The sequence below is a fragment of the Homo sapiens genome, chromosome 6, assembly GCF_000001405.40.
Source record: "Homo sapiens chromosome 6, GRCh38.p14 Primary Assembly".
Classification (NCBI taxonomy): domain Eukaryota; kingdom Metazoa; phylum Chordata; class Mammalia; order Primates; family Hominidae; genus Homo; species Homo sapiens.
This window is the reverse complement of record NC_000006.12, coordinates 8,372,703-8,397,921: the sequence shown is the minus strand read 5'-3', so window position 1 is coordinate 8,397,921 and position 25,219 is coordinate 8,372,703. Positions and strand designations below refer to the sequence as shown.

The following is a 25,219-nucleotide window of genomic DNA, read 5'->3' as shown; positions in this document are numbered from 1 at the left end:
AATTAGGAAGAAATACTTCTGAATTACTGTCAGTAATATGATAACAGTTAGCATAAATTGCTTGATTTTACTGTGCTTCACTCACCACACTGAAAATGGGGTGATTAAAAATACCTTCTTGATAGAATTGAGTTTTCTTCTTTATGATAGTTTTGTTAATAAGTGATATGTAATTTGAAATTATAATATTCAAAATTCAAATTCCATGATCCTAAGCCTTTCTAAGCATACAACTTTGCTTATGAATAGACAAGACTGTTCAAATGATGTGGCTATAATAGCAGAAGGCTTTATTATGACCTTATGAACAGACATTTCCTGGATGGCAGAGCACTATCATAAAGGGTCCAGCTCTATTTCTATGTGAGTGAACACAAGTCCACTCAATAGTTCCATCTAAACTAACTCTTTCAGAAGGGTTAATAGTAACACTCCATGGACCCACTTGACCTCTCCACTTAATTTTGAAAAGTATGAATTATCCACTATTGTAGCAACCACTGAGAAAATCATAAGCTTTCCTTTCCATTTTTTTTCCTGTGACAGCCATTGACCAAATATGTATTGAGCAATTTGCAAGTCTCTTCAGAGATATGTAAATACATATCTATGTTTATGAGATAGATTATATATCTGCCTCACAACTCCTTCACTTAATTATCTCAAAGTTTAGTGAGAAGCAGGCATAGAGTTATGGTGCGTTAATTTCTATAATGTGAATGTATATGAAGTGTAATAGGACTATTCTGAAAGACTTTTTCTAAGAGGTAGCATTTAAGCAAGTCCAGGTAAGACATCGTGAGGATCTAAATACACACTCAGGCATTGGAGCTGGTGAGGATGGAACCAATAATAGGGATATCTAGAGGGTAATTGATAGGGAGGGGATGAGGGAGAGGAAGCATCTTAGAATGACTTTTGCAGTTCTGACTTGGAAAACTGGATGAATGTTACTTGCTGAGATACACAATTCAGGAGAAAGAGTGTATTTGCTGTTGGGGAGAGCAAGTTGAAGCATAGTTTGGACATGACTGAGTTTAAAGTCTTACTTTGGAACCTCCAGATGAACAATTTCAGAAAGCAATGATAATATGTAGTTTGAGAGGCCTGGGAATCTGGATTCGGGAGTTAAAATAATGAGCATGAGTAAGATTGTCAATGTTGTTTTTTTAAGTGAAGAGAGTGTTTACAAAGCCTGAGGAACACTGATGTTTAGTGGTGAACAGAGCAAGAGGGACCTGCACAGGGGCTGAAAATGAGAAGTCAGAGAAGGAGAAAAGCGTGATCTCAAGGAGCCAAAAGAAGGAGAAACAGGTCAAAAGGGAGGAAGTTGTCAGTGCCGTTTTTGAGATACATGAAAAAATTTTTAAACATGATCAGCATAAAGATGGATTTATAACAATTAGATTTCTTTACTGACCCTAGATTCTTTATAATGCAAACAAATATTTACCATATTCTAATTTTTTCTTTAATTACAAAATAGAATTTTTGAAAAAGATAAAAATGTATTTTATACTAATCATATGTGAATTCAAGATATTTAAAAAGAATATAGACTTTCTGTACAAACAGCCCTAATTTGAATTCCAGCTTCATAATTAACCTGGAGCAAATTAGTTACCTTCTCATTTTCTTCATCCAGAAAAATGGAATTAGCACACCTTTACAAGGTGATTTTGAAGATCAAACAAAAAATGCACATAAAAGAACAGCCTATTTTTTATAAACATTTATTATGTTTTAAGCATCTATTTTAAGAAGTGAGGAAAATATTCAGCAAATGAAGCCCAAAGAAAGCAGAAAGAAGTATGTAATAAGAGCAGAAATTAAATAGTAAATAAAAATATACAATTAAAAAAATTAAGGCCAGGCCCAGTGGCTCACCCCTGTGACCTCATACTTTTGAGAGGCCAAGGTGGGAGGATTGCTTGAGACCAGGAGTTTGAGACCAGCCTGGGCAGCATAATGAGACCCCATGTCTAGAAAAAATAAGAATTTTTTTTTTTAAATCAGCAGGGCACAATGGTGTATGCCTGTAGTCCCAGCTCCATGGAATGCTGAGGCAGGAGCATCATTTGAGCCCAGGAGATCAAGACTAAAATAAGCTGTGATTGTGCCACTGCACTCCAGCCTGGGTGATAGAACGAGACTCTGTCTCAAACAAAAAAAAAAAAAAAAAAGAAAAGTTGATTTTTTTTTTAAGAATTAAAATTAATAAACTTCTGGGTTGTCTGATCATGAAATTAAGAAGATAAAAATGTGTAGTATACCTGAAATGAAAAAAGGATATTACTGCATGTTCTATGAACATTTAGGAAGAAGAAAAGAATATCTTAAAGCATTTTATGCCAATAAATTTGAAAATTTAGATAAGAACAACTAATTTCTACAAAAATACAGTCTACCAAAACTGACATAGGAAAACACAAAATTTGAATAGTTCCATATATGTAAGTACCTACAAAAAAACCTACTGTAAGCATGATATTTAATGATAAGTTATAGAAAGTATTTGGTTTGATTTCAGAAATAAGTGTGTATTCCTGTTACTAGTACATTTATTCAACATTGTACTGGAGGTCCTAGCCTGTACAGAAAAAGCCAAAAAACAAGGAAGAAAAAACAACTGCAAGGAAAAAAAAGTATATTCACAAATGACACAATTATGTACACACAAAATCTAAAGCAATCTACAAATACACTATTAAAATTAAAAAGAGGATTTAGCAGAGTCTCTCAATATAAGATCAATATGCAAGAATTGTATTTCTTTATATAGCAGCAAACAACTAGAAAAATTGAATATTAAAAGTGATTCTAGGCTGGATGCAGTGGCTCATGCCTATAATCCCAGCACTTTGGGAGGCCGAGGCAGGTGGATCACCTGAGGTCAGGAGTTCGAGACCAGCCCAGGCAACATGGTGAAACCCTGTCTCTACTAAAAATACAAAAATTAGCCGGGCATGATGGCGGGCGCCTGTAGTCCCAGCTACTCAGGAGGTTGAGGCAGGAGAATGCTTTGAACCCGGGAGGCAGAGGTTGCCGTGAGCCAACGTTGCACCATTGCACTCCAGCCTGAGTGACAGAGCGAGACTCTGTCTCAAAAAAAAAAGAAAAAAGTGATTCTATTCAAAGTAGTATTAAATATCATGAAATTCTTTGAAATAAATATAAGATGTGCACAATCTCTGCCAGTAAACTATAAGTTATTGAGCAAAATTATAGAATCCCTACATAAATGAAGGTATATTCATGTTCATCTACTGGCAGTTGCAATATAGTAAATTGTCATTCCCAAATGATTTATGGATTCAGTTCAAGTCCAGCATGCCTGTGTACGTATGTGTATATGAGAAAATAAGCTGATTCCAGAATTTATAAAGAAATGAGAAGTGCTGAAATGGCCAATGATCTCTTAAACAAAATAGGTACCACCATATATCAAGACTTGTTATTGGCTCCAGTAATTAGTGCAGTGCACTATGGCACAAGAAGAGACAAATAGACTGTTGGAACAACATTAAGAGCTCAGAAACAAATCCACACACACAGGGACATTTGATTTGCCTCAAAGATGGGACTACAGATAAGCAGGGAAACTTTTTTTTTCAATAATTGATGTTTGATGGGTTAGATATGGAAACTATGGAACTTGGCCTAAACTTATAAACTACATATGAAAGGTCAAACAGTGGCTTTCACAAGATATGAAAGGTAAAACAGGCTCTGTGGGGAGGGGAAGTTATTTTGAAAGGAGACAAAAAGCATTAATATAAAGGAGAAGATTGACAAACTATATTACATTAAAATTAGTGAATTCATCTAATCATGAGAAAACATTGGAGAAGTCCAAACTGAGGTTTATTCTCAAAATACCTGACCAGTACTATTAAAGTGTTAAAGTCAGGAAAAATAGGAACTGAGACAATTGCCACAGATTGAGGGAGACTAAGGAGACTGAGCGCTGAACGCAGCATGGTATTCGGGATTGGATCCTGGAACAGAAAAAGGATAACAGCGGAAAACCGGTATAATCTGAATAAATTGTATTGTTTATGTAACAGTGTCGTACCTATATTAATATCTGAGTTTGATAAGTGTTAGTTATGTTTGATAAATGGTTATGGAAGGGGTTAACATTAGAGGAAGCTGGATGGAGGATATATTGGAGCTCTCTGTACTCTTTTCTACTCTTCTGTAAATCTAAAATTAATTCAAAATAAAATGTTTAAAAATTTAAAAATCATATTCATCAAAAGACACCATTAAGAAAGTAAAAAAGCAAGCCACAAGTAGGAGAAGAAATTTCCCATACATGTCATCAAAATGAACTTGTATCTAGAATACATAAAGAGCCTCTACAAATCAATAAGGACAGCATAATACAAAAGTTGGGAAATGACTTGAATCCTTTTACAAAAGAGGATAGCCAAATAACCATAAACATTTGAAAAGACTCATTATGCTTCAGTGATAACCCCAAGTAAAAATCTACTACAATCTTACCACAAAGGCTAAATATTGACAATTCTCATATGCTATTAGAAGTGCAAATTGCTATAACCAGTTCAGAAAACTATTCAACATTATCTGAAAAATTTGAATGTACATCCAGTGATGCAGAAATTCCACTCACAAGCACATACAACAGAAATGTAGGCATGTGTATATCAAAAGACACATACAAAAATATTCATAGCAGCATCATTCAGAAAAGCAGAAACTGAGTCACCCAAATACAGTAGTCACCTACAGTCCAATGGGTTAAAAAAAATTGTGCTATACACATATAATTGAGTGAATAGGAAAGACTTACCACTACTCATGGCAACAATAATTTGACATACATAATGTCACATGAAAAAGCATAAATACAAAAGAGTATAAACTATATGATTCTGTTTACGTAAAGTTACAAAAAAAAACAAAGGCAAAGCAAAACTACAATGGTTAGGGATCCATGTTTTGATGGTAAAATTATCAAGAAAAGCAAAGAAGTGATAACGTAAAAGACAATTGTATTTTGGGAGAAAGGAGAGATTAGGGCTGGAGAGGGCTGGCCTGAGGAGGCTTGTGTGGTGGGGCAATGTTTTATTGGCCTGTGTCATGTTTACACTGGTGTGCCCTTTGAGAAATATAACTGAACTGTGTGTTTTGAATGGGTGGAGTTTTCTGTATTACATTCCACAATAAAAGAGTCTTCTAAAAGAGGAAGTGGGCTGGGGGAAGAAAAGAAACATTCTTTAGAAGACCTCAGCAGCTCTCTAAAAATGGAGACTCTTAGATCAACCTATGCGTATTTCTTTGTCTTAAATCTTGTTTTCCTCTTCCAGGAAAAGATCCATTCCTTCCTTTTGGGCCGCATCAGACATTTTTAATAAAATATGAGATTTTCTTTTAACAGCACTTTCTTTTAATTGGAGTAATTTTAACACGCTCAAGTTGTGTACTTGGTTAATGACAGTAGCAGCTGATTAAATGGATGTAACTTACACCCACACATGCCCACCTTCACATACATACTTATTTTTTAAACCCTCCTTTAAAGACAGTATATCTGACTTTAAGGGATATATTCAGTCATTAGATGCTCTTTCATCACATGCTGCATGAAGTGTTTTCCATTTAGAAGACAGATCTGAAACACCAGCCTTATCATTCTTGGGTTTGCAATTGAAGTATAAAATCTTGCCAGAGTTGCATCCATTAAAATAAAACAGTCTTGGAAATTAAGCACTAATTTCCCCTTCAAATGGCCACTTCTGGTTTTTTTCTTTCTAATTACCACTGTAATGAAGTGGCCAGTATTATGGTAGGAAGTGATTTCAAAGGCAGCAATCTCTTATTATGAATTATAGGCTTTATTTTCCACCCTAATGGGAGTCAGCCTTAGTTATCAAAAATGCATGTGCAAACTCCATCTCTGCTGAGACTAAAATAGTTTTGGAATAACAAATCATACTTTCAGCTCAGAGAGAGAGTAGGCCTTCAAGCATTTCACTAAAGCAAAGATGAAGAGGAAAACCATTATATTTTCACTACAGGATCATTTCTAACCTGTTGCACTCTAATCTGTTGCTCTCTGTAGCAGAATTTCAGCATATTAAAACACTGCTATATTAATAACATCTGATAAGGACAATTTGTATCAAGATAGATATGAAGAAAGGCACTTAGAAAACCATAAAGTACTCTAAAAGTAATACTTTTTGTGAAGCCATTAACCTGACCACAGGGACTCCTTTGGGTCGTGCAGTCCAGTCTGCTTCTAACATGGGCAGTGGCCCTTTCTGTTTCCTGTCAACGTGAGGTTTGACCTAAATATCTTGCTTTCATTTGTTGAAAAGGAAATTCTCTTTTAACTTTGATTATATCCCATGTGGACTTTCAATTTTTCTATGTCTCCTTGAAATTCTTTCCTGTCGAATGATTATAATGTGCCACTGCTTCTTGCCTGTGAGTTGGGGCACAGGTAACACCCACAATCATGCGCCAAGCTTTTAGCAGCTTTGTTAAGTGGGTATTGTGATTGTTTAGTCCAAAATAAGTAACGATAAGCATGCCCCCCATTCTTTGGTGTCAGTACTATCAAATTTAAATGGGAAAAGCCTCTAGAAATGAGTTGTTATCCATCTGAAAAAGCCATGCTGGGGTCTGCAATTTAAACCACTGGGTTTTTTTCTGATGGCAAAATAGAAAAGATCATCATGCTGACCATTTCAATTGCCTACATTGTGTATCAGATTATTTTATCTTCTCATATGTAGGAAAATGATAACTTCTTACTCTGATGTCAACAGTAGCAATTTGGTAATGGACAAGAGAAATCAATTTCCCTCATGGGCATTTCTGAGTCTAAGTTTGGACCCACATGTGTTTCCCAAGAGTCTTTCTTCATCCTGTAACTTTGGTTGACCAATGATGTATTCACTGTAGGTTAATGGGAGTAGAAAATGCAAACTGGATCTTGAAAAAAAACAGAAAAGCATTACCAACTTTAAAAATTCAATCTGTGAACACTTTTGACTATGCAGAATAACTCATGTTTCATGAAGACATTCTTTCTTCATTTTAAAACAAATAGAAAGAAGTCTGCCTAAAAAGGTGATGGAAACTTTGGCTCAAAATACAATGATTACTGCCTGTGTTGAAAAATTATACAGACTGTCTGTGTAGAAAAACTATATAATCCCGGCACTTTGGGAGGCTGAGGTGGTCAGATCACTTGAGGTCAGGAGTTCGAGTCCAGTCTGGCCAACATGGCGAAACCCCATCTCCACTAAAAGTCAAAAAAAAAAAAAAAATTACCTGGGCATGGTGGTGCACACCTGTAATCCCAGCTATTTGGGAGGCTGAGGCAGGAGGACTGCTTGAACCCAGGAGGCAGAGGTTGCAGTGGGCTGAGATTGTGCCACTGCACTCCAGCCTGGGTAACAGAGTGAGACTCTGTCTCCAAAAATAAAAAATAAAAACTATACAGATAGTAAAAAGATGAGGGTGGGCACAGGCTGGGTGGGGTGGGAAAGGGAAGGGGAGGATGGATAGGCAAAGCACAGGTGAGACTATTCTGTGTGATACTACACTAGCAGATACATGATGTTATACATGTGTCAAAACCTATAGAAGTACAACTAAGAGTGAACCTGAAAGTGAACTATGGACTATAGTTAATAATATATTGATATTGGTACATTAGTTGTAACAAATGTACCACACTAGTGAAAGATGTTAATAATAGAGAAACAATATATGTGGTGGGAATGGGATGCATATATGGAATTGTACTCAATTTTTCGGTAAATCTTTAACTATACTAATAAAAACTCCTTAATTATTTTATTAAAAAGAAAGGGATGAAAACACCTACACAGCAGGAAAGGAATACCCGGTTCTCTTAGTGGAGGTATGGGTGTAAACCCTCAGCCCCAAAACTTGCCCCAAAATGGTATGAGTTATTCGTAAAATTGAAAACCTTGCACATATGAATAGACCTAAAACAACAATAACTTTTTTGAAGTTTTACGATTCCTACATTCATCTGGATTTTATCATAAAGTAGAAAAAGGAGAAAGCCATTCCCTGTTCACCTAGGTATTTTAATAAATGTTAGATGTTCCCCTTAAAAATGATTTGCTTGTTCATTGTGAAAAATTCAGGGAGTAAAAGGCAATAATAAAAGAAAATCATTTTAAATATTAAAAGATACACAAATCCATAATGACAAGGACATTAAAGGCAAAGATCTAACAAGCCAGCACTAAAAGGTTGGGCGGAGTGAGCAGCTTAGGCATATAATTGCAGATGATTAACAGCAAAGGGTGTTTAGATAGCTGCAGGTAGTTTGGTGCAGCTGAAACAGATTTCAATTAGGGTTCGGCTGCAGATGGAAGCAGGGGGGCCTTGGAGTTTGCATTTGGTTCTTTGGGAGTACGAAGCTATTGTAAGGCCTTTGGCTGGAAGTAACATGATTCAGCAGTATCCCTCAGGAATGAGACAGGGACAAAGCTGGGGGGACTAGTGAGGAGATGAACTAGAATAATGCAGATTAAACTTGATGAGAGTTGTATTGAAGGAATATCCAGAGGAGAAGACTTTGAGAGAGAGAATGCAGGCAGAACAATAAGCCTAGATGGATACTCGGATGTGAAGAGGGAAAGCACTTGAGCATGACTCCCAGCTCAGTTATGATGTCATTAAATTTATGACACTGGAAATTTAGGGGAGAGTGGGCAGATGGGAAAGGCAGAGAGCAGAGCATAGTGAAGGCAGCTAAATTCAATTGGGGCATGTTGAGATTGAGTTCTCTGTGGTCATTCAGACAGAACTGTCCACTAAGAAGAAATGGAATCTATGGTTCTGCAGGTCAGAATGGTCTGTACCAGAGATGAAGTCATCGGTCTACAGATGAATTGAGTGAAAGCAATCACCCAGAGCCAGGCAAGGTGTCAGAGCTCCAACATCAAAAGGTGGTTGACTGGTGGGTTGGTAAGAAGAATTTACCACTGACCGTATAGGACTGGAAAAGGAAAGGTTTATTAGGTAGAAAGAACGCTGTCGAAGAGTGCAGCTGCAGCGGAGCACCTCAGCAAGAGAGGACTGAGTGCAACACAGTGGATCCTTCCTCAGGGGTATTTATGGACCTTAAAGCCGGAGCTGAAGGTAATTTGGACCATATTAGCCCATTAGTATCATTAGATAAATGATTACATTTGTAGACATTTTTGTGCTTAATGCCAGCCAGGTTGGCACAATGCGTTCAGCATGCACGTATTCTGGAGATGTACAGAAATTCTAGTTACTTATAAATTTATAAGTAAATAAAATAAATTTATAAGTAACTAGAGTTTATAAGTAACTTCTATCTGGTACAAAAGAAGCTTTGTACCAGACGCCAGCTTTAGATAATAGGGAAGTCTAATTGATACAGGAGATAGAAAGAAATTATTTAGGCAGATAGTAAGGACAACAGAGTCCTTGGCGGAATTTCCCTTTTAACAAAAAGCACCTCAAAATTATTTCTTTTCTAACAACAAAGAGCAGCCTGAAAAATCGAGCTGCAGACATAGATAAGCAAGCTGGAAACTTGCACTGGTGAATGCCGGCAGCCGCGCCAATAGAAAAGGGCTACCTGAGGGCCAGGCATGTTCAACATGGAGGCTCCATCTTCCCTTTCTTCGTCACCACGTGTACAGTAAAGAACCAGGCAACATGGCGCCAGCCGGGTAGAGAGCTCATCTGCATAATAAAAGATTAGGGTGGGGGCAGCCAGTTTCTTCATGTGCTATGCATATGAGACACCTGGTCTGACCAATCTTTGGTGCCCTATGTAAATCAAACACTGTCCCCTCAAGCTCCTCTGTAAAACCTGTATTCCACTGCGGAAGCCACAACCCGTTTTCTCTGGGACTTTTCTCTGCACAGAGATCTTTTCTTTCTTTCGCCTATTAAACTTCTGCTCTAACTGCACTCTTTGTGTGCCCACATCCTAGTTTTCCGTGGCCATAAGACAACGAATCTCGGGTATTTACCCCAGACAAGGAAGCCGCTTCATAATTACTTCTAAATTCCTCAGATAAGGAGTTTTGTCTTCAGGTGGCCTGCTTGATGGTCACCAGGTGATCTTTGCTCTCCTCACCGAGGAGGCGTCATGTACACTGGGAAGAAAGGAGACCTCAGGACAGAACTCTGGGAAACAGCCTCCAATGGGCAAGCAAAGGGGCTTAAAGACAAGTGGAAAGAGAGGGCTAGGAGGCTGGTGCCATGGAAGGCAAGAGAAAGGAATTTTATGTGCTGGTGAAAAACGTTACTAAGTATTTTCCTTCTTCATTTATAGAGTATTCTAAAAAAAATCAGAAGATGAAATCGGGTGCCATATATCTTCTATCTTTGAAATATTAAAAATGTGGCTGAGTTAAATCAATCTAATGATAATAGAATGCCAAGTAAGAATTAATTTAAAGATTGTTGTATTCAACTTCTCAGCACTAGAGTCTAGAGAAGAAATACTGCTGGCATCTCCTGGTGTGATTTACCACACCATCATGGCTTATACATTTGTGAACTTTTCAGAGAAAAAGTAAAGCAATATAATCTGCACTCGCCTTAGAGTCAGAAGACCTGAGTTTAAAATATTCCTGTCACTTACCAGTTGGGGACAAATCATTTAACGTCTCTGAGGTCCTATTAGGAGATGGCAAATTCTGGAAATTAAATATGTTGAATATAACTTTTTAATAATTCAATTTGTATTCCTCAACTCTTTTGTATTCATCACATACTTCCAAATATTGGAAAGTTTGATGCCATTCCGGAGATTAGCTAGTATTTTCTTTTAGCATAATACCTGATTAGAGGTAGCACACAGGTGCCCCCGAGATCATAAACGTTCCTCCCTCTTTGTGAAGATTCTGTTGCAAATGTATACAGAGGGCAAATGGCTGAGAAACCCTTAACTATGCCCATTTTAAGTATAATAATTGGTGTGCAACTTAGCATTTTAGTTAGATCCTAGATTTTTTTAATTGAAATTTCCCCAAAATCATTATCTATAGGATTGTTGAATGTTTACTTCAACATGTTTACAGAATGTTTACAGAAACATATACAAACAAAACATAAACAGGTTTTCTGATATATAGCAGAAACGTAACAATGGTCTTCCTCTCCACCATCAATCCCAGTCTGTTAATATCTCACTGCAGCTGGAAGGTGACCTCCACATTATATCCTAAACCTGTGTAATAAATAATAGTAGATGTCTAAAGCCCATCACAACAGCAAATGGAGTGGCACACAGCATACTGTCCTCTCAGATTTCCACATAAGGGGACACTGGCAGACCGTTTGTTACCTTAGTCATTTGCAAGGGGGAAAAAGAATTTGATTCTTAGAAAGGATCAACCTGAAAGCAAAGTACATATCCCTTGACACACCAAACTGGAACTTTGCTTTTTATTGTGTTTTTCTTTTTAGACAGGTTTATTGAGATATAGGCATAATTTAGTAAAATCACTGTTTTTCACATAAAATTCTATGGACTTTGACAAACACACACAGCAGTATAACATATAGCCTCATCACTACAAAGGACTGAGTACTGTAAGATCCTTGTCCCTTTGTAATCAACCTTTCTATCCAATCAGCTCCTGGAAACCAATGATATGGTTTCTGCTTCTGTAGTTTTGCATTTTCCAGAATGTCTTATAAAATAGAATCAAAGAGTGTGTCTGGCCTTTTGAGCCTGGCTTCTTTCATTTAGCATAAGGCATTTGAAATTCATCCATATCACATCATGTATCAGTGGCATGTCCCTTTTCATTGCTGAGTAGTATTTCATTGTATGAATGTATTGCAGTTTATCATTTTGCCTGTTGATGAACATTTGGGGTGTTTCCAATTTTGGTGATTACAAATAAAGTTGCTATAAACATTTATAAATAGGTTTTTATGTGAACATGTTTCATTTCCCTTAAATACCTAGGAGTGGGATTTTCATGTCGTGTGTTTCACTTTATCAGAAGCTTCCAAACTGTTTTCCTGAGTGGCATTCCCTTCAACCATGTGAGGGTTCCAGTTGCTCAGCACCCTTACCAACACTTGATATTAGAAAGTTTTTATATCTTAGCCATTCTGATAGGTATACAATGGCATCATCTCGTTGTTTTCATATGCATTTCCCTAATAAATATGATGTTGAGTATTTTTCATGTGTTTATTGTCCATCTGTATATCTTTTTTGGTAAAGTCTTTGTTCAAATCCTTACCTCTTTGTTAACTGAGTTATTTCCTCATTATTGATTTTTAGGCATTCTTGATATATTCTGCATGCAAGTTTTTTTTAATCAGATACATATTTTGCAAATATTTTTACAAATGTTTTCCAAATATTTTCTCCCAGTGTATGGCTTTTCATTTTTCATAAGCATGTTCTTCAAAAAGCAGAAGCTTTTAATTTTAATTTTGATGTAGTCTAGTTTATCATGTTTTTCTTTTGTAGATCATGATTTTTATCATCTCCAAGAAATATTTTTACCCAAGACCATGACATTTTTCTTCTATGTTTTCTTCTAGAATTGTTTTTTAGAAGACAAATCTAATCATCAAATAATTTAGAAATTATTTAACTTTTACATTTAGGTCTATTATACTTTTTGAGTTAATGTTTCCATATAATGTGAAGTATGGGTCAAAGTTCATTATTTTGCATATGGATATTCAATTGTTCCAGCATCATTTGTTTCAAAAACATTCCTTTCTCACTAAATTGTCCCTGCATTTTTGTAAAAATCAACTGACTCTTCATGCATGGGTCTACTTCTGAACTCTCTACTCTGTTTCATTCATCTCTGTGTCTGTCATTTTGCCATCACTGCACTGTCTGGTTATTGTAGCTTTATAATAAGTCTTAAAATCAGGTAATGTGAGTCCTTCCCTTTTCTGCTTTTTCAAGATTGTTTAGGCTACTCTAGTTCCTTTGTCTTGTACAATTTAGAATCAGCTTGTCAATTTCTTTTTAAAAATTGCTTCTGAGATTTTGCTTGGGATGGAGTTGAAATTATAGATCTCTCTATATAAGATTATAGATTAATGAGAATTGACATCTTTATATTAAATTTGCCAATCCCTGAATATTGTATAAATATTCATTTATTTAGGTCTTTGATTTCTTTCATCAATATATTGTTGAATATACAGATTCAACAATATTCCAGCATATATATCTTGCACATGTTGTTAGATTTCATGTTTTGAAGGCTATTATAGATTGTACTTTTTGAAATTTTAATTTCCGATTGTTCATTGCTGGTATGTAGAAATACAATTGATTTTTCTATATTGATTGGAGTTTGAATTTCAGTTACAAGTTTCCTCCTGGACATTATATATACTAGAACAGTGGTCTTTCAACATGATTGATCTTCAAAATGGCCTGGAGAATCATAAATGTACAAATAAATAGATTCCCAGACCCCACCTCCCACAGGTTCTTATTTCATAGTTCCTGGGATAGGCCTAGGAATTTATATTTAAAAAGCTTCCTTCAGTAGTTCTGTCTTTGTTGAGGTTTGGGAATCGCTGTTAAGCATTTGTGGGAATCAATTATTTAATAAATAAGGCAGATATGGCAAGTAACATAATTCATTTCTTGTACTGACACTACAACCTATATTCATTAGGCATTTCCAGTTGGATTTCTGGTGATAGATTTGTAGTGATATATGTGTTCTAAAACTCAGCCCCTCCTTTTTAGCCAGTGGCACATATTTGTTGGAAATTGTGCCACATTACTAACTGGGGTTAGAAGCTCACTAAAATTCAGTCTATGGCCACACTTGGCCAGATTATCATAATAATGAGCATACTATATAGTATTGCTTTGGGGAGGGACAAATAAAAAGACACTGGCTGGAAAAAAAAATGTAATAAAAATTTGGTTAAATTCTAGGGTGGTCTGCCAAGATGAAGAATGGTGATAAAGGGATTGTTGAGTACAAGTGCTACAAAGTCACCTTCAAGTAGTTTTGGTGGGTGCTGGTGGGGGGTGAGCGAGGTGGGAGGCGAATTTATTACCAGGGCATTGCAGTAGCTCTTAGAAGAATCTAAGAGCAGTGATTGCAGATTGGCCTCCCAGGGGACCAGAAGAAAGACAAAGACAGCAATCAGGATTCCAGGAAGATCCTGTGTTCCTTCTGTTCCTATGAGTGCTTCTTGCTTCCCTCTTGTTTTCTTTCCTGCAGAGCAGCTTTCTCTGCTCCCTTTCAATCAAGAATGTCCCAAAATGAGACTCCAGCTTTTAAGTCTACATGACCCCAGAAGTCACACAGATGTCCAACTCACCAAGAAGCTCAGAATAGGAGAATTGGTCTTACTCGTATTAAGGAACCACCCATTGATAATATTGACTGATGAGGGCTATGGTAAATGATCTTCAGAGAAAGAAAAGGATTCTCTGAGAAAGATTCACTAAGGCATGCAATTTGATTAACACCTGCCATAAATGGATGCCATATTTGGAATCTCTCCTCTAAAGTATGAATGATAGCCATATAGTGATATGAAGTCTGTCTGTGACAACAATATGGCATGTCCCATGTAAGTGGACATATTTTGAATTGTCTAATAAACTAAAAACAGCATTTGCTAAATAAAACTCTAATGCTGGTAAAGGAAACATTCTATCCTGAACGCATAAAGCTTGAATTTAGTCTATCCTTTTTAACATGAGCATTACAGAAACAGTATTGGGGTAATTAAAACTAAACTACTTCTAAATAAACAAGCTAACTACATAATGGCACCATGGAAATAAGGCCACTTACTTGGATTTTATACTACGTTTTTCTTCTTCACTACTTCTCAGATTGTAGTGGTTTCCAGATTGTACTTGAGAGTTTAATAAATTTGTGCATAAGCGTTGGCATTACAGAGCTACCGGCATTGCGGAGGGGAAGGTTTTCATGTGCTATACAGAAGTGTTCTAGAAACATTGGAACCAGTGTATACATTCTTCAGAAGTAAGTCCTAGAGTCATAGAAATCAGACTGTTAAAATGCAGTCTTATAGTGATCTATACCTCACTTTATAGAAGAGGAAATTGAGGGCTCTGGAGATTATGCAAACTGTCTAGGTCTCACTCTGAGTTATTGGCAGGACTGGCCTGGGATTTCTGATTCTCAGCTGAGCTGCCTTCTGTGAAACACATTTTCCCACTTAAAAGCTCTAGACAGAAAAAATAACAAAAGTGAGCTTTTCAATGCCAAGTCTGTTGTTCTTCCTGAAGAAACAAGTCTGAACAGGGTTTCCTCAGCTCTCGCCTTGCTTCTGATTCCCACATCTGTCTAGCTGTATCTCTCTCCTTTACTACACTTCTCTGTCTGGGAGACCCAGCTTAGATTTCATATCCACTGCTTTATTAGAATGCTACTTTATCTCCAAAGACTATTTCTGTGTTGCTGATAGTTTTATAAATGCACCTGGGGTTTACAAGTGATACCTGGTGTAAGGATTTATGTGACTAAAAATATTTAGGCTTAAATACAGCAGCAGAAGAAAATGTCTTAGACTTTTAATAAAAGAGTTGACATTGATGAGTGAATGAACTGAATGGTTCCCCCCATACCTCACCGGCAAAATTTATATGCTGAAGCCTTAACTCCTACTACCTAGAGATAGGTGGGGTCTGGGAGAAGGTGATAAAGGTTAAATGAGGTCATAAGGACGTGGACTTAATTTGATAGGATTGGTGTCCTTGTAAGAAGAGAAAGAGACATCAGAGAGCTTTCTCCCTCCCCACATGCACACAGAGGAAAGCCCATGTGAAGATCCAACAAGAAGGTATCCCAGGAAGAGAGCGCTCCCAGAAACAAACCCTGGCACCTTGATCTTGGACTTCCATCCTCCAGAACTGTGAAAAAATAAATGTCTTTTGGTTTAGCCACTCAGGCTTTAGCCACCACAGTATTCCATTATGGCAACCCCAGCAGACTGATACAATGAGCAGGACTGTGCAGTGTATTGTAAAAATGTTTTCTAAACTCACATGCAAGGCGCCTCTAATGAGAGAGATAACAAACGTATCTCCAGAACTGATATTATGTATCTTTTAAAGTTTATCATTGTTCTCCAGTATCAGCATTTTTAAACATTATTAGAGTGTAATATCTATATTTGCATGTGCTTCCTTCCACCATAACACTTATTGCCAGATTTTTCTAACAACCTAGAACAAATTGAACATGTTTATGTTTACCTCTTGTATTTATTTCAGAAATACCATTTACTAACACTTTCCTATGCCTCCACCTTTTGTATTATTTTTTCCAACCATTTCTTTGGAGATTTCATCAAATATTGTGACATCTCAACTGCTTTTTCTAAATTCTTTTCTTCTGTGACCGAGTCTTGCTCTGTCACCAAGGCTGGAGTGCAGTGGTGTGATCTCGGCTCACTGCAACCTCCACTACTTCCTGAGTTCCAGTGATTCTCATGCCTCAGCCTCCTGAGTAGCTGAGATTACAGGCATGCATCACCACGCCGGTTTTTGTATTTTTAGTGGAGACAGGGTTACACGATGTTGGCCAGATTGGTTTCGAACTCCTGGCCTCAAGCTATCCACCTGCCTCAGCCTCCCAAAGTGCTGGGATTACAGGTGTGAGCCACCGCGCCCAGCCATGCTTTTTCTAAATTCTTAAGTACTATGTTTTTAAAAAGTTCTATAAATTTTACATTATATACACTTTTTAGGCAGTTTAGATTATTTTTCATTTTACCTTAATCATTAAGATACCCTGAAAATAAGTTTTCTGTTTCATAAGCCTGTTAGATTCTAATGTCTCATCTTTCATCATATTCATCATATTCAGACCCCACTCCTATGTTGTAAGAAGATCCATATTGACAAAATTTATGTGCTTATTCCTGTAATGTATAAAATCTCTAAAACAGTATATTTCATTTTCACCAGTAAATCCTGAAGTAATAAAGAAATTTGCCACTAGTTACATTATCCATCCCCAAGGCATTTGTATAGAAAAGCTTTAAGGCAGGCTGGTAAACTGAATGGCAAGATGGTCTGAATTTATTTTCAGAATCATGCTGTAGGGTCACAATGAAATATTCCATTCCTAGTCTCTCTTGTACATTTCCATTTTCTATTACCTTATTGTTAAAAACCATCCAAATATTCTTGATTGATTGAAATCCAGAAAGGAAGACAATGTTCATGGACTTTTCGCAGTTATAGTGCCAGTTTAAAGCAACTCTCTAAGATTTTTTAATCTGTAAGTAGAGACTTAAAAAACTTTTTAAAATACCAGTTACAATGTTCAGATTTACTTTAGTACAAGTTATTTTATATAAGGAATTTAAACACATCATAAATTGGGACAAAACCCATTATTTGAGAAAGATTGTCATTCACTGAGCTCATTAAGGGCATAACCTTAATTTTCTGCCTGTCGTCATTTACTGATGTTTGCTAAATCAGAGAGTATGACTTTGCCCCCATTCATACAATCTGGTGTGATTATTTTGACTGCATATCATCATGTATGTGAGACTCATGCCAACATGAGTCTCTCTCTCACACACACACACAAAACCAGAACAAGAACACAAACCTACACTGACGTCTCATTACCTCTCCGGTCAAATCCAAACTTCTCATGAAAGACAAGTAAAGCCTTCTCTTACCTCCCCTCACCCTCCACCCCTTTTATTTTCCTCCACGGAAGCTTGTGCTCCTACCGGACCCTCTTCCTTCTTGCTGTTCTTTGAGTGTGATATTCGTTCCATGTTGCTTTCAGAGTAAAATCAGAATTCCTTAGTATGATTTGCCAACTTCTCCCCAGCCTCACCCCTGCCTGTGTCTCCAACCTCATCACTCACTGTCCCCTGGCACACAAACCTCCCTCCAGCCAAACCGAGGCACTGGAGAAGTGTGTCTCTTCTCTTTCCTCCACACCCTCACCAAATGATTCCCTCTGCACAGAATGGCCTTCCCTCCTACTTGCTCTGGCTAATCTCTTCTTGTTTTAAGATTCCTCTTAGGTGCATACGCTTTTTGTTGTCCTCTTATTTTTCCTCCACTGTGTCATACAGCCTTCCTCTGAGATCAATTAGCACGCCATGTTTAGCTCTAGTATGGTATTTGTTGCACTGTATGTGTGACCTTTAACTCTAGAACAGGGACTGTGTCTTTTATCTAAGTGATGAAGATGAGTGGAACGGTGCATGTTTATGGAACTCATACCAATAATGTGCCTTCATTTATATTTTTCCTTCTTGCCTGAAATCCTTTTGTCAAAGCATCCCAATCTTTCTTTTTAATAAAAATCTCATTCAATCTTTATCTCTCTATAAACCCCTTTCCCTTCTCTCTTTTCCTAGAGCAAGTGAGTTGTACCTTTATGTATTTTCTGAAGGTCGTTTATAGCCAAATCAGACTGGAAGATTTTCTAGATAGAAAGCGCATCTTTGTACTTCTGCACAGTCTTATGCCAGGCATGTAGAAAGTTCCTAATACTCACTGATTAATTTGCCTGAATGGGGAATAAAACACTTTGGAAATAAGGCAAAAGGTTGACTCCTTCAAAAGAATAATGACCTGTACAGGGTCATGACACCATTTTAAAATAAAATAATTCCCTTTGTTTAGCAGAAGCACTATCATCATCATCATCATTATTTTCCAAATAAAACACATCTATCCTGAAGCTAAGAAAAGCAATAAGACTAGTGACATGCTTTGAGCGCATTTATTAGTCAGAACACTGTTCTATTACATGCTCAAGTCTTTAATATGCATGAAACAATATTCTCTGATGCAACAGATGATTAAAGAAATATATTAAAGCATTCATTCTGAATGAAAATACATGGACAAGGTAATTCCCAAGGCTCAGAGCAACTACAGGGAGGAATATAAGCTGAAGTAGGTCATTTCTCCCCAGAGAAATTCTATGGAGATTGCTTTCAATTTTGGGTTTTAAATCTAAGAATTTGCTGTATAGAGAACTGAAAAATAAGGTTTCTGGCTTGTTCATATGCAAGCTCTGGGTTTTCCTTTTTTTACAGGGGTGGAGAAGGGCCTTTTCTTCTCTCTTCTATGAAGACCACTCATTGACGACATCATCGCAGGTCTGGTTTACTATCCGAGCTCCAGGAGCCTCCTATTTGCCATGTAAGACTCTACTAGCTAGCTAGTGTCCTTGGCTAAGCCTCTTGACCTTTCTGGTTTTTTAATTGACAAATTAAAATTGCATATATTTGTCATATACAACATGACATTTTGAAATATGTATGTATACATTGTGGAATGGCTAAGTCGAGCTAATTCACAAATGCATTACTTCACATACTTAGCATTTTCTGTGGTCAGAACATTTAAATCTACTCTCTTAGCAATTTCTAAGAGAGCAATCCATTGTTACTAACTATAGTCACCATGTCAGCCTCTTGACCTTTCTGAACCTCAGGTTTTCTCTTTCATGTAGGAACAATAACATATTTTCTTATTTCACATTGGAGTAGAGCTGGGAGGTCAAATAAGATAAGGAGTTAAAAATTTTCAAAGCAAATTCAAAGGCAAGGTATTACAATTCATTTATTCCCACAGTTTGGGATACTGCAAATTAAACTTATATGCAGAACATCTGTAATATATCATGAGACCAGTGCCAATATATGTTCAATGCAGGCTGAATGCAAAATCTGCTTTGCTTATCTAGAGGCAGAAGTATCTTCATACACTAGCTGGCAGCCTTGACTGGGAATATGAAGTCCTGAGTTGTACTCTTCTTTAAACCAATCAATCAACAAGTATATATTGATTCACTGATATTCACAGGCAGATAGGGTAGGCATTGAATAGAATTTTCCCAGCCTCCAGAATAATAATACATATTTGAAGATGTATGGCAATGTATGTGTGTCAATTTCAGTAAAAACCCACCCACTGCAGTCATGCAGCACTGGGCAGGGGGATCCAGGAGGGTGGAGAATGGAGCATTTGAGCTGGAACAAGGGAATAGAATGTGGCAGTTTGCTAGGGCTGCCCTAATAAAAGTCAGCAGTACCCCTCTATGCCAGGGAGATGCATTCCAAGACCCCCAGTGGATGTCAAAACCAATGATAATATCGAATCTTATATGTGCTGTTTTTTTATCTAATCACCTAGATGGCTCCCAAGTGACTAACAAGAGGGTAGCATCAATGGCATGGAGACCGAGGACAAAGGGAAATTGACATCCCAGGCAGGAGAGGAACGGTGGCAGATTGTGACATGCTACACAGAACAGTGTGCAATTTAAGACTCAGATATTATTTATATCTGGAAGTTTCCATTTAATATTTCTGGACCATGGTTGACCACCAAGGAAAGTGAAATGGCAGATAAGGGGGACTACTGTACCCCAGACAGGGTCAGGGGGAGAGGGGGTTAACTGCAGGAAATGTATCACTTCACAGTTTTGGAGTTCAGAAGTCTGAGAGCCAGGTATGGGCAGGGTTGGTGTTTCCTGAGGTCTCTCTCCTTTGCTTGGAGATGGCATCTTCTCTCTGTGTCCTCACGTGGTCATCCCTCTGGGTCTGTGTTCTCATCTCCTCTTCTTATAGGGACACAGTCGTAGTGGATTAGGGCTCACCATAATGACCTCATTTAACCTTAATTATCTCTTTAGTGATCCTGTCTCCAAATACACTCACACTCTGGTACTGCAGGTTGGTACTTTAACATATGAATCTCTTGTGGGGACACAATTCAGCCCAAGACAGACAGGTGTAATTCAAATACTTAGAGGGAAAGGAAGGAAATGTTCCAGGCAGCCGGAAGGTTCAGATGGGTAAAGGTGCATGGGTTTGCAGGGACAGTGAGTGAACCAGCATGATATAGCTCCAATCAACAAAATGCTTCACAGTTACCAGAGGACATTGTTTTACTTAATCCATACAACAGTTCTATGAGAAAGAGATTCTTCTTTACAAATTGGAAAACTGAGATTTGAGTTGCTTGCCTCTCGCCAGTGCCCTTAAGACTTAGTGTGCAAACACATCATCCGGGGATCTTATTCAAATGCAGATTCTTGTTCCTTAGGTTTGGAGCAGGGCCTGAGAATCAGCATTTTGAGTCAGCTGTTTATGCGATATTGATGCTACTCGTCTGTGACCACACCCTGAGTAGCAAGGTACTGAGTAGCAAGGTATTGAGTAGCAAGGCCCAGGTAGGGCAGAGTAGTGGAAGGGTGTGTTTTAAAAGAATATGATAGGAACAGCCTACTAGTTTGGACTTGGCTCTGTGGTATTGTCACAAATCGTGAGTTAGCTTGTATCATCTTGTGAAAATCAAACAGTAGTGATACTTTCCCAATTTATAGAAAAACAAATAAATTAAGTTGATGGAGTTGTCTCAATTAAAAGTTTTCAGCCATAACATTTTCTTTAAAAATTTAACACATTAACTAAAATGAAAATTCAAGAGGCAGGAAATTTCCAGGAAAAAAAAAATTTGGAAGCAGCCAGCTGTGCTTAGTTTGACAATATGTTCTTAAGAGAGATGTGCTCATGTCTGTGATTTGTATATTACATGCAATAGAAAATTCTCCTCCTACAGATATTATTCTTAATGTGCTTAATGGAATTAAATATATCAGTACTCCATGCGGTTCTGCAGCACCCAGACGTCCAGGTAAATAAGCTGGCAATGACTCTATAGGAGGAAGACCAGTGAGGTTTATTGACCAAGGTGTGGTTTGGGGAGGCTGGCTGTGGGAGCATATGTAGGATGGGCGAGAGGAGGAAGAGAGGTTGAAAGCAAAATAATTCAGCATGAGGTTATGAAGCTCTGGGCAACAGTGGTAATAAAAAGCAGAGGATGGAGGCTGAATCATCCAGCTTGGGGCCCTGGAGTTCAGGCTGAGTTCAGTCTTCCAGGCTTTATGTGTCAAAGGCATGAATGAAGTACCATCCGCTCATGCTTATCAAGAAGCTTCAACTAAGAAACTGGGCCAGGCACAGTGGCTCACACCTGTAATCCCAGCACTTTAAGAGGCTGAGGCTGGAGTATCAGTTGAGCCCGGGAGTTCAAGACCAGCCTGGGCAACATGGTGTGACTGTGTCCCTACAAAAAATTTAAAATAAATTATCCAGGCATGGTGGTGTGTGCCTGTTGTCACAGCTAGTTGGGAGGCTAAGGTGTAAGGATAACTTGAGCCCAGAAGGTCAAGGATACAGTGAGCCATGTTTGTGCCACTGCATGCCCACCTGGGTGACAGAGCAAGACCTGTCTCAAAAAATAAACCATTGAAACAAACAAACAAAAAGAAACCAACATTGAAGAAAATGGCTTAAGAAGATTTTAAGATCCATTACCAACTCATGGTCAGAACTACCTTGGAAAACAAATATATTGAAAATACTCTTATAACTAACTGTAAATCTACTTTCTAAATTACTATTTCCCTAGTTGTCGTAAGATAGGCTCCACAGAAAAAGGGAGTGGGAAGATTCAGAAGAGGCATCCATGATCAATTAAATTTGGAAAATGATAGATATCATAGCCCCTCTTTAGAGATTTGCCATGCACATTTGTTTATTAAAAGTTCTGAGAGTCCCACTATTAAAACACATATACACTAAAAACTCTGTTGAGCTCTAAGTCAACTGGCCAGATAATCTTGTTTTAATAAATACTCCACTAATATCATGCTCAACTAGTGTTCCAAGGAACACATCTTAGAAAACACTGTTGTGAATCAACTAGCTAAATAAATACTTTTGTTCTTTGTAGTTTGTAAACTCTTACATAATGCCTCCACTTAACAATTTGGGAGAAAAATTGATCATTGTGTAAAATTTTGATGAAGAAAGGAGATGGCAGAGAATGCTGACTTTCTGCTCAAACTCATGGGTCTCAAAATCCTTACACTGATGATACATCTTCCCTTTGAACTTTTAGTTGGTCAGTTATTTATTATTCAACCCATAGTTATTATTTACTTCTGAGCAAGGCATTGTTCTTGGCACTTTGGTGGCATCTAATATAGCACAGTCTCTGTGCTTAAAAACATAAGAAGAAATAAAAGAGGTCTATAAATAACTCTAACTGGGAGCCTAAGAGAGGAAAGAAGAAAGTCGATGGGATTTTGGAAAGGGATAGATCATAGCCAGTCAAAAGGATCAGAAGAGGCTTTATATGCAGGTAGCTCATGAATGAGAAGATTTTGGCAGATAGGAGTGAAAGAGGGTAAAGGTAAATAGTATACCTTATCATCCAAACCCACATGCTTTTAAGAGTGAAAGGGGGTGTCATTGATGGTGCCACTGACTCCAGGAAGACAGGCATAAGCTGGTCAATTCAGGTTACGGAGAAGAAACAAGTCAGTTCACTGGTAGAGATCCTAGGGAGGGCAGAGAATTAGGAATGATCCAGCCAGGCTAGGGCATTAGGCAGGGTATCTGGACCCCAGCTCCCTCCAGGGCTCATCTTCTACCCTCAGTATGAAAGGATAGATATGACAGGCCTTGGCACCTGCTTATATATGAGAGGAAGGAAAAGTGGGGAATCTACACAAATGGTGAAACTGCCTTTGCAAAAATTATGACAGTGAGAGAAATCTGACATAGAAAAGTTAGGACAGTGAAAGGAATCTGACCTAACTGACTCCATCTTTCTTCTAACCTCCAAGTACTCCTTGTTCATTCCTGGGCATATGCCAAGCTAACTGTGGGAGGAATTTAGTTTAACCTTGAAATAAAGATAGTAACAGCTTCTTCCCAAAACTAACCCCCTCCTTGCTGAACGACCAAAACTGCCTTTGTAAAACTAAGAAATTAGCTACAAGGTTAGAATTATGGTTCAGGAGCCACGTAGCCAGAAGTCACAAGATTTGTAACCTCCCCAGTTGCTCTTATAGATAACATCACTATTGTAAAATTTAAGATTGGTGTTTGAGATATTTTTTAGACCATGCATTCTGATGACCAGCTGGCACCACCTGGTTTGGTAAATTGGCTCAATTGGTCTTGTGATCCTACCCAGGAACTGAAAATAGTAAGAAGACAGCTTTGACCTCCTATGATGTCATCTCTAACCCAACCAATCAGCATTCCCTATTCCCTAGCCCCCTGCCTGCTAAATTGTCCTTGAAAAAACCCTAGTCTCCTAAATTTTCAGGGAGTCAGATTTAAGTAGTAACTCCCATCCTTCTGTTTAGCTGCCTTGTGATAATTAAACTCTTTCTCTACTGCAATAGCGCTCTCTTGGTGAATTGGGTTTATCTGTGCAGTGGTCAAGAAGAACCTTTTGAGCAATTAGAATACCAAGACAGAATCCTCCAAACAGTGTTCCTGAGAAATGCTTTTCAGGAACACCCTTGTTCCAGATGTTTGTCAGATCCATTGAGAAACACTGTAGTCTAGACCTCCTCTTGACAGTCTTTAAAAACGTGTTTGAGAGTGCACATTTAAAAAAAAAAAACAAGTGAACTTATGAACATCTTACTGGAGCCCCCTTTTACCAGTTGGCAAGAGCTGACAGTTAAATTTTTATTAATTTAGTGAGCCACAATTATTAGTGGCTTGAAATCAACCATGGTGGGGCTGGGTATAACAGACATCAGCAAACTCCTGCCTGCCTGCTTTTGTGTGGCTGCAAGGTCAGAATGGTCTTTACATTCTTAAATAATTGAAAAAAATTTAGAAGATTTTTTTGGGACATATAATATGACAAAATTAAATGAATTTCAACTTTCAGGTCCATAGATAACATTGCATTGGAACACAGCCATGCTTATGCATTTAGGCATTGTCTGTGGCTGCTTTCACTAACAACAGCAGTTGAGTTGTACTTGAAACAGAGACCATGTGGCCTGAAAGCCTGGAACCTGAAAGCCTAGAATATTTACTATCTAGTTCTTTACAGAAAAAGTTTACCAACCTCTGATTTACACTATGGAAAGCAGCAAATACTGTAAATCAGGGCTTTGGGGTGGTGGGTATTTACCAGCACACCACTGGAATATTTTCTTCCAAGAGTTCTAGCACAGGTGGTTAGGGAGATATGAAAAGGATGACTTGGTTAGGGAATGAGGTGGCATCTGGTCTGGGTTATGACAAGACTGAGCTGCTGGGGCTAGACATAAAAATTTAGAACCATGCACACAGACGTGATTGTCAAGGAAGTGTGGGCTGAGGAGATCTGAGGGCAAAGCTGTGAGTGAGA

The 25,219-nt window shown here is 37.8% G+C and overlaps 7 annotated features.

Annotated features, from left to right (window-relative positions):
• Window positions 287-456: an enhancer, noted in NCBI's record as "experimental_96058 CRE fragment used in MPRA reporter constructs". NCBI's record gives its function as "activates a minimal promoter by MPRAs in K562 erythroleukemia cells, with activity observed for the introgressed 6:8397784 variant allele {active_cell/tissue: K562}" and the evidence as "EXISTENCE:reporter gene assay evidence [ECO:0000049][PMID:34662402]".
• Window positions 3,244-3,413: an enhancer, noted in NCBI's record as "experimental_96052 CRE fragment used in MPRA reporter constructs". NCBI's record gives its function as "activates a minimal promoter by MPRAs in K562 erythroleukemia cells, with activity observed for the non-introgressed 6:8394827 or rs1763097 variant allele {active_cell/tissue: K562}" and the evidence as "EXISTENCE:reporter gene assay evidence [ECO:0000049][PMID:34662402]".
• Window position 3,328: a transcriptional cis regulatory region, noted in NCBI's record as "Neanderthal adaptively introgressed variant 6:8394827 (GRCh37/hg19 assembly coordinates) or rs1763097 in the experimental_96052 CRE". NCBI's record gives its function as "modulates activity of the experimental_96052 enhancer by MPRAs in K562 erythroleukemia cells {active_cell/tissue: K562}" and the evidence as "EXISTENCE:reporter gene assay evidence [ECO:0000049][PMID:34662402]".
• Window positions 5,059-5,259: a silencer, noted in NCBI's record as "peak5649 fragment used in MPRA reporter construct". NCBI's record gives its function as "represses an SCP1 promoter by STARR-seq MPRAs in K562 erythroleukemia cells {active_cell/tissue: K562}" and the evidence as "EXISTENCE:reporter gene assay evidence [ECO:0000049][PMID:32103011]".
• Window positions 9,107-10,306: an enhancer, noted in NCBI's record as "CDK7 strongly-dependent group 2 enhancer chr6:8387849-8389048 (GRCh37/hg19 assembly coordinates)". NCBI's record gives its function as "activates an origin of replication core promoter dependent on BRD2, BRD4, P300/CBP, MED14 and CDK7 cofactors, with strong dependence on CDK7, by STARR-seq in HCT116 cells {active_cell/tissue: HCT116}" and the evidence as "EXISTENCE:reporter gene assay evidence [ECO:0000049][PMID:35650434]".
• Window positions 13,688-14,562: an enhancer, noted in NCBI's record as "OCT4-NANOG hESC enhancer chr6:8383593-8384467 (GRCh37/hg19 assembly coordinates)". NCBI's record gives its function as "activates a minimal SCP1, AML or CMV promoter by ChIP-STARR-seq in naive H9 embryonic stem cells {active_cell/tissue: H9 hESC(naive)}" and the evidence as "EXISTENCE:reporter gene assay evidence [ECO:0000049][PMID:30033119]".
• Window positions 17,736-17,905: an enhancer, noted in NCBI's record as "experimental_96039 CRE fragment used in MPRA reporter constructs". NCBI's record gives its function as "activates a minimal promoter by MPRAs in K562 erythroleukemia cells, with activity observed for the introgressed 6:8380335 variant allele {active_cell/tissue: K562}" and the evidence as "EXISTENCE:reporter gene assay evidence [ECO:0000049][PMID:34662402]".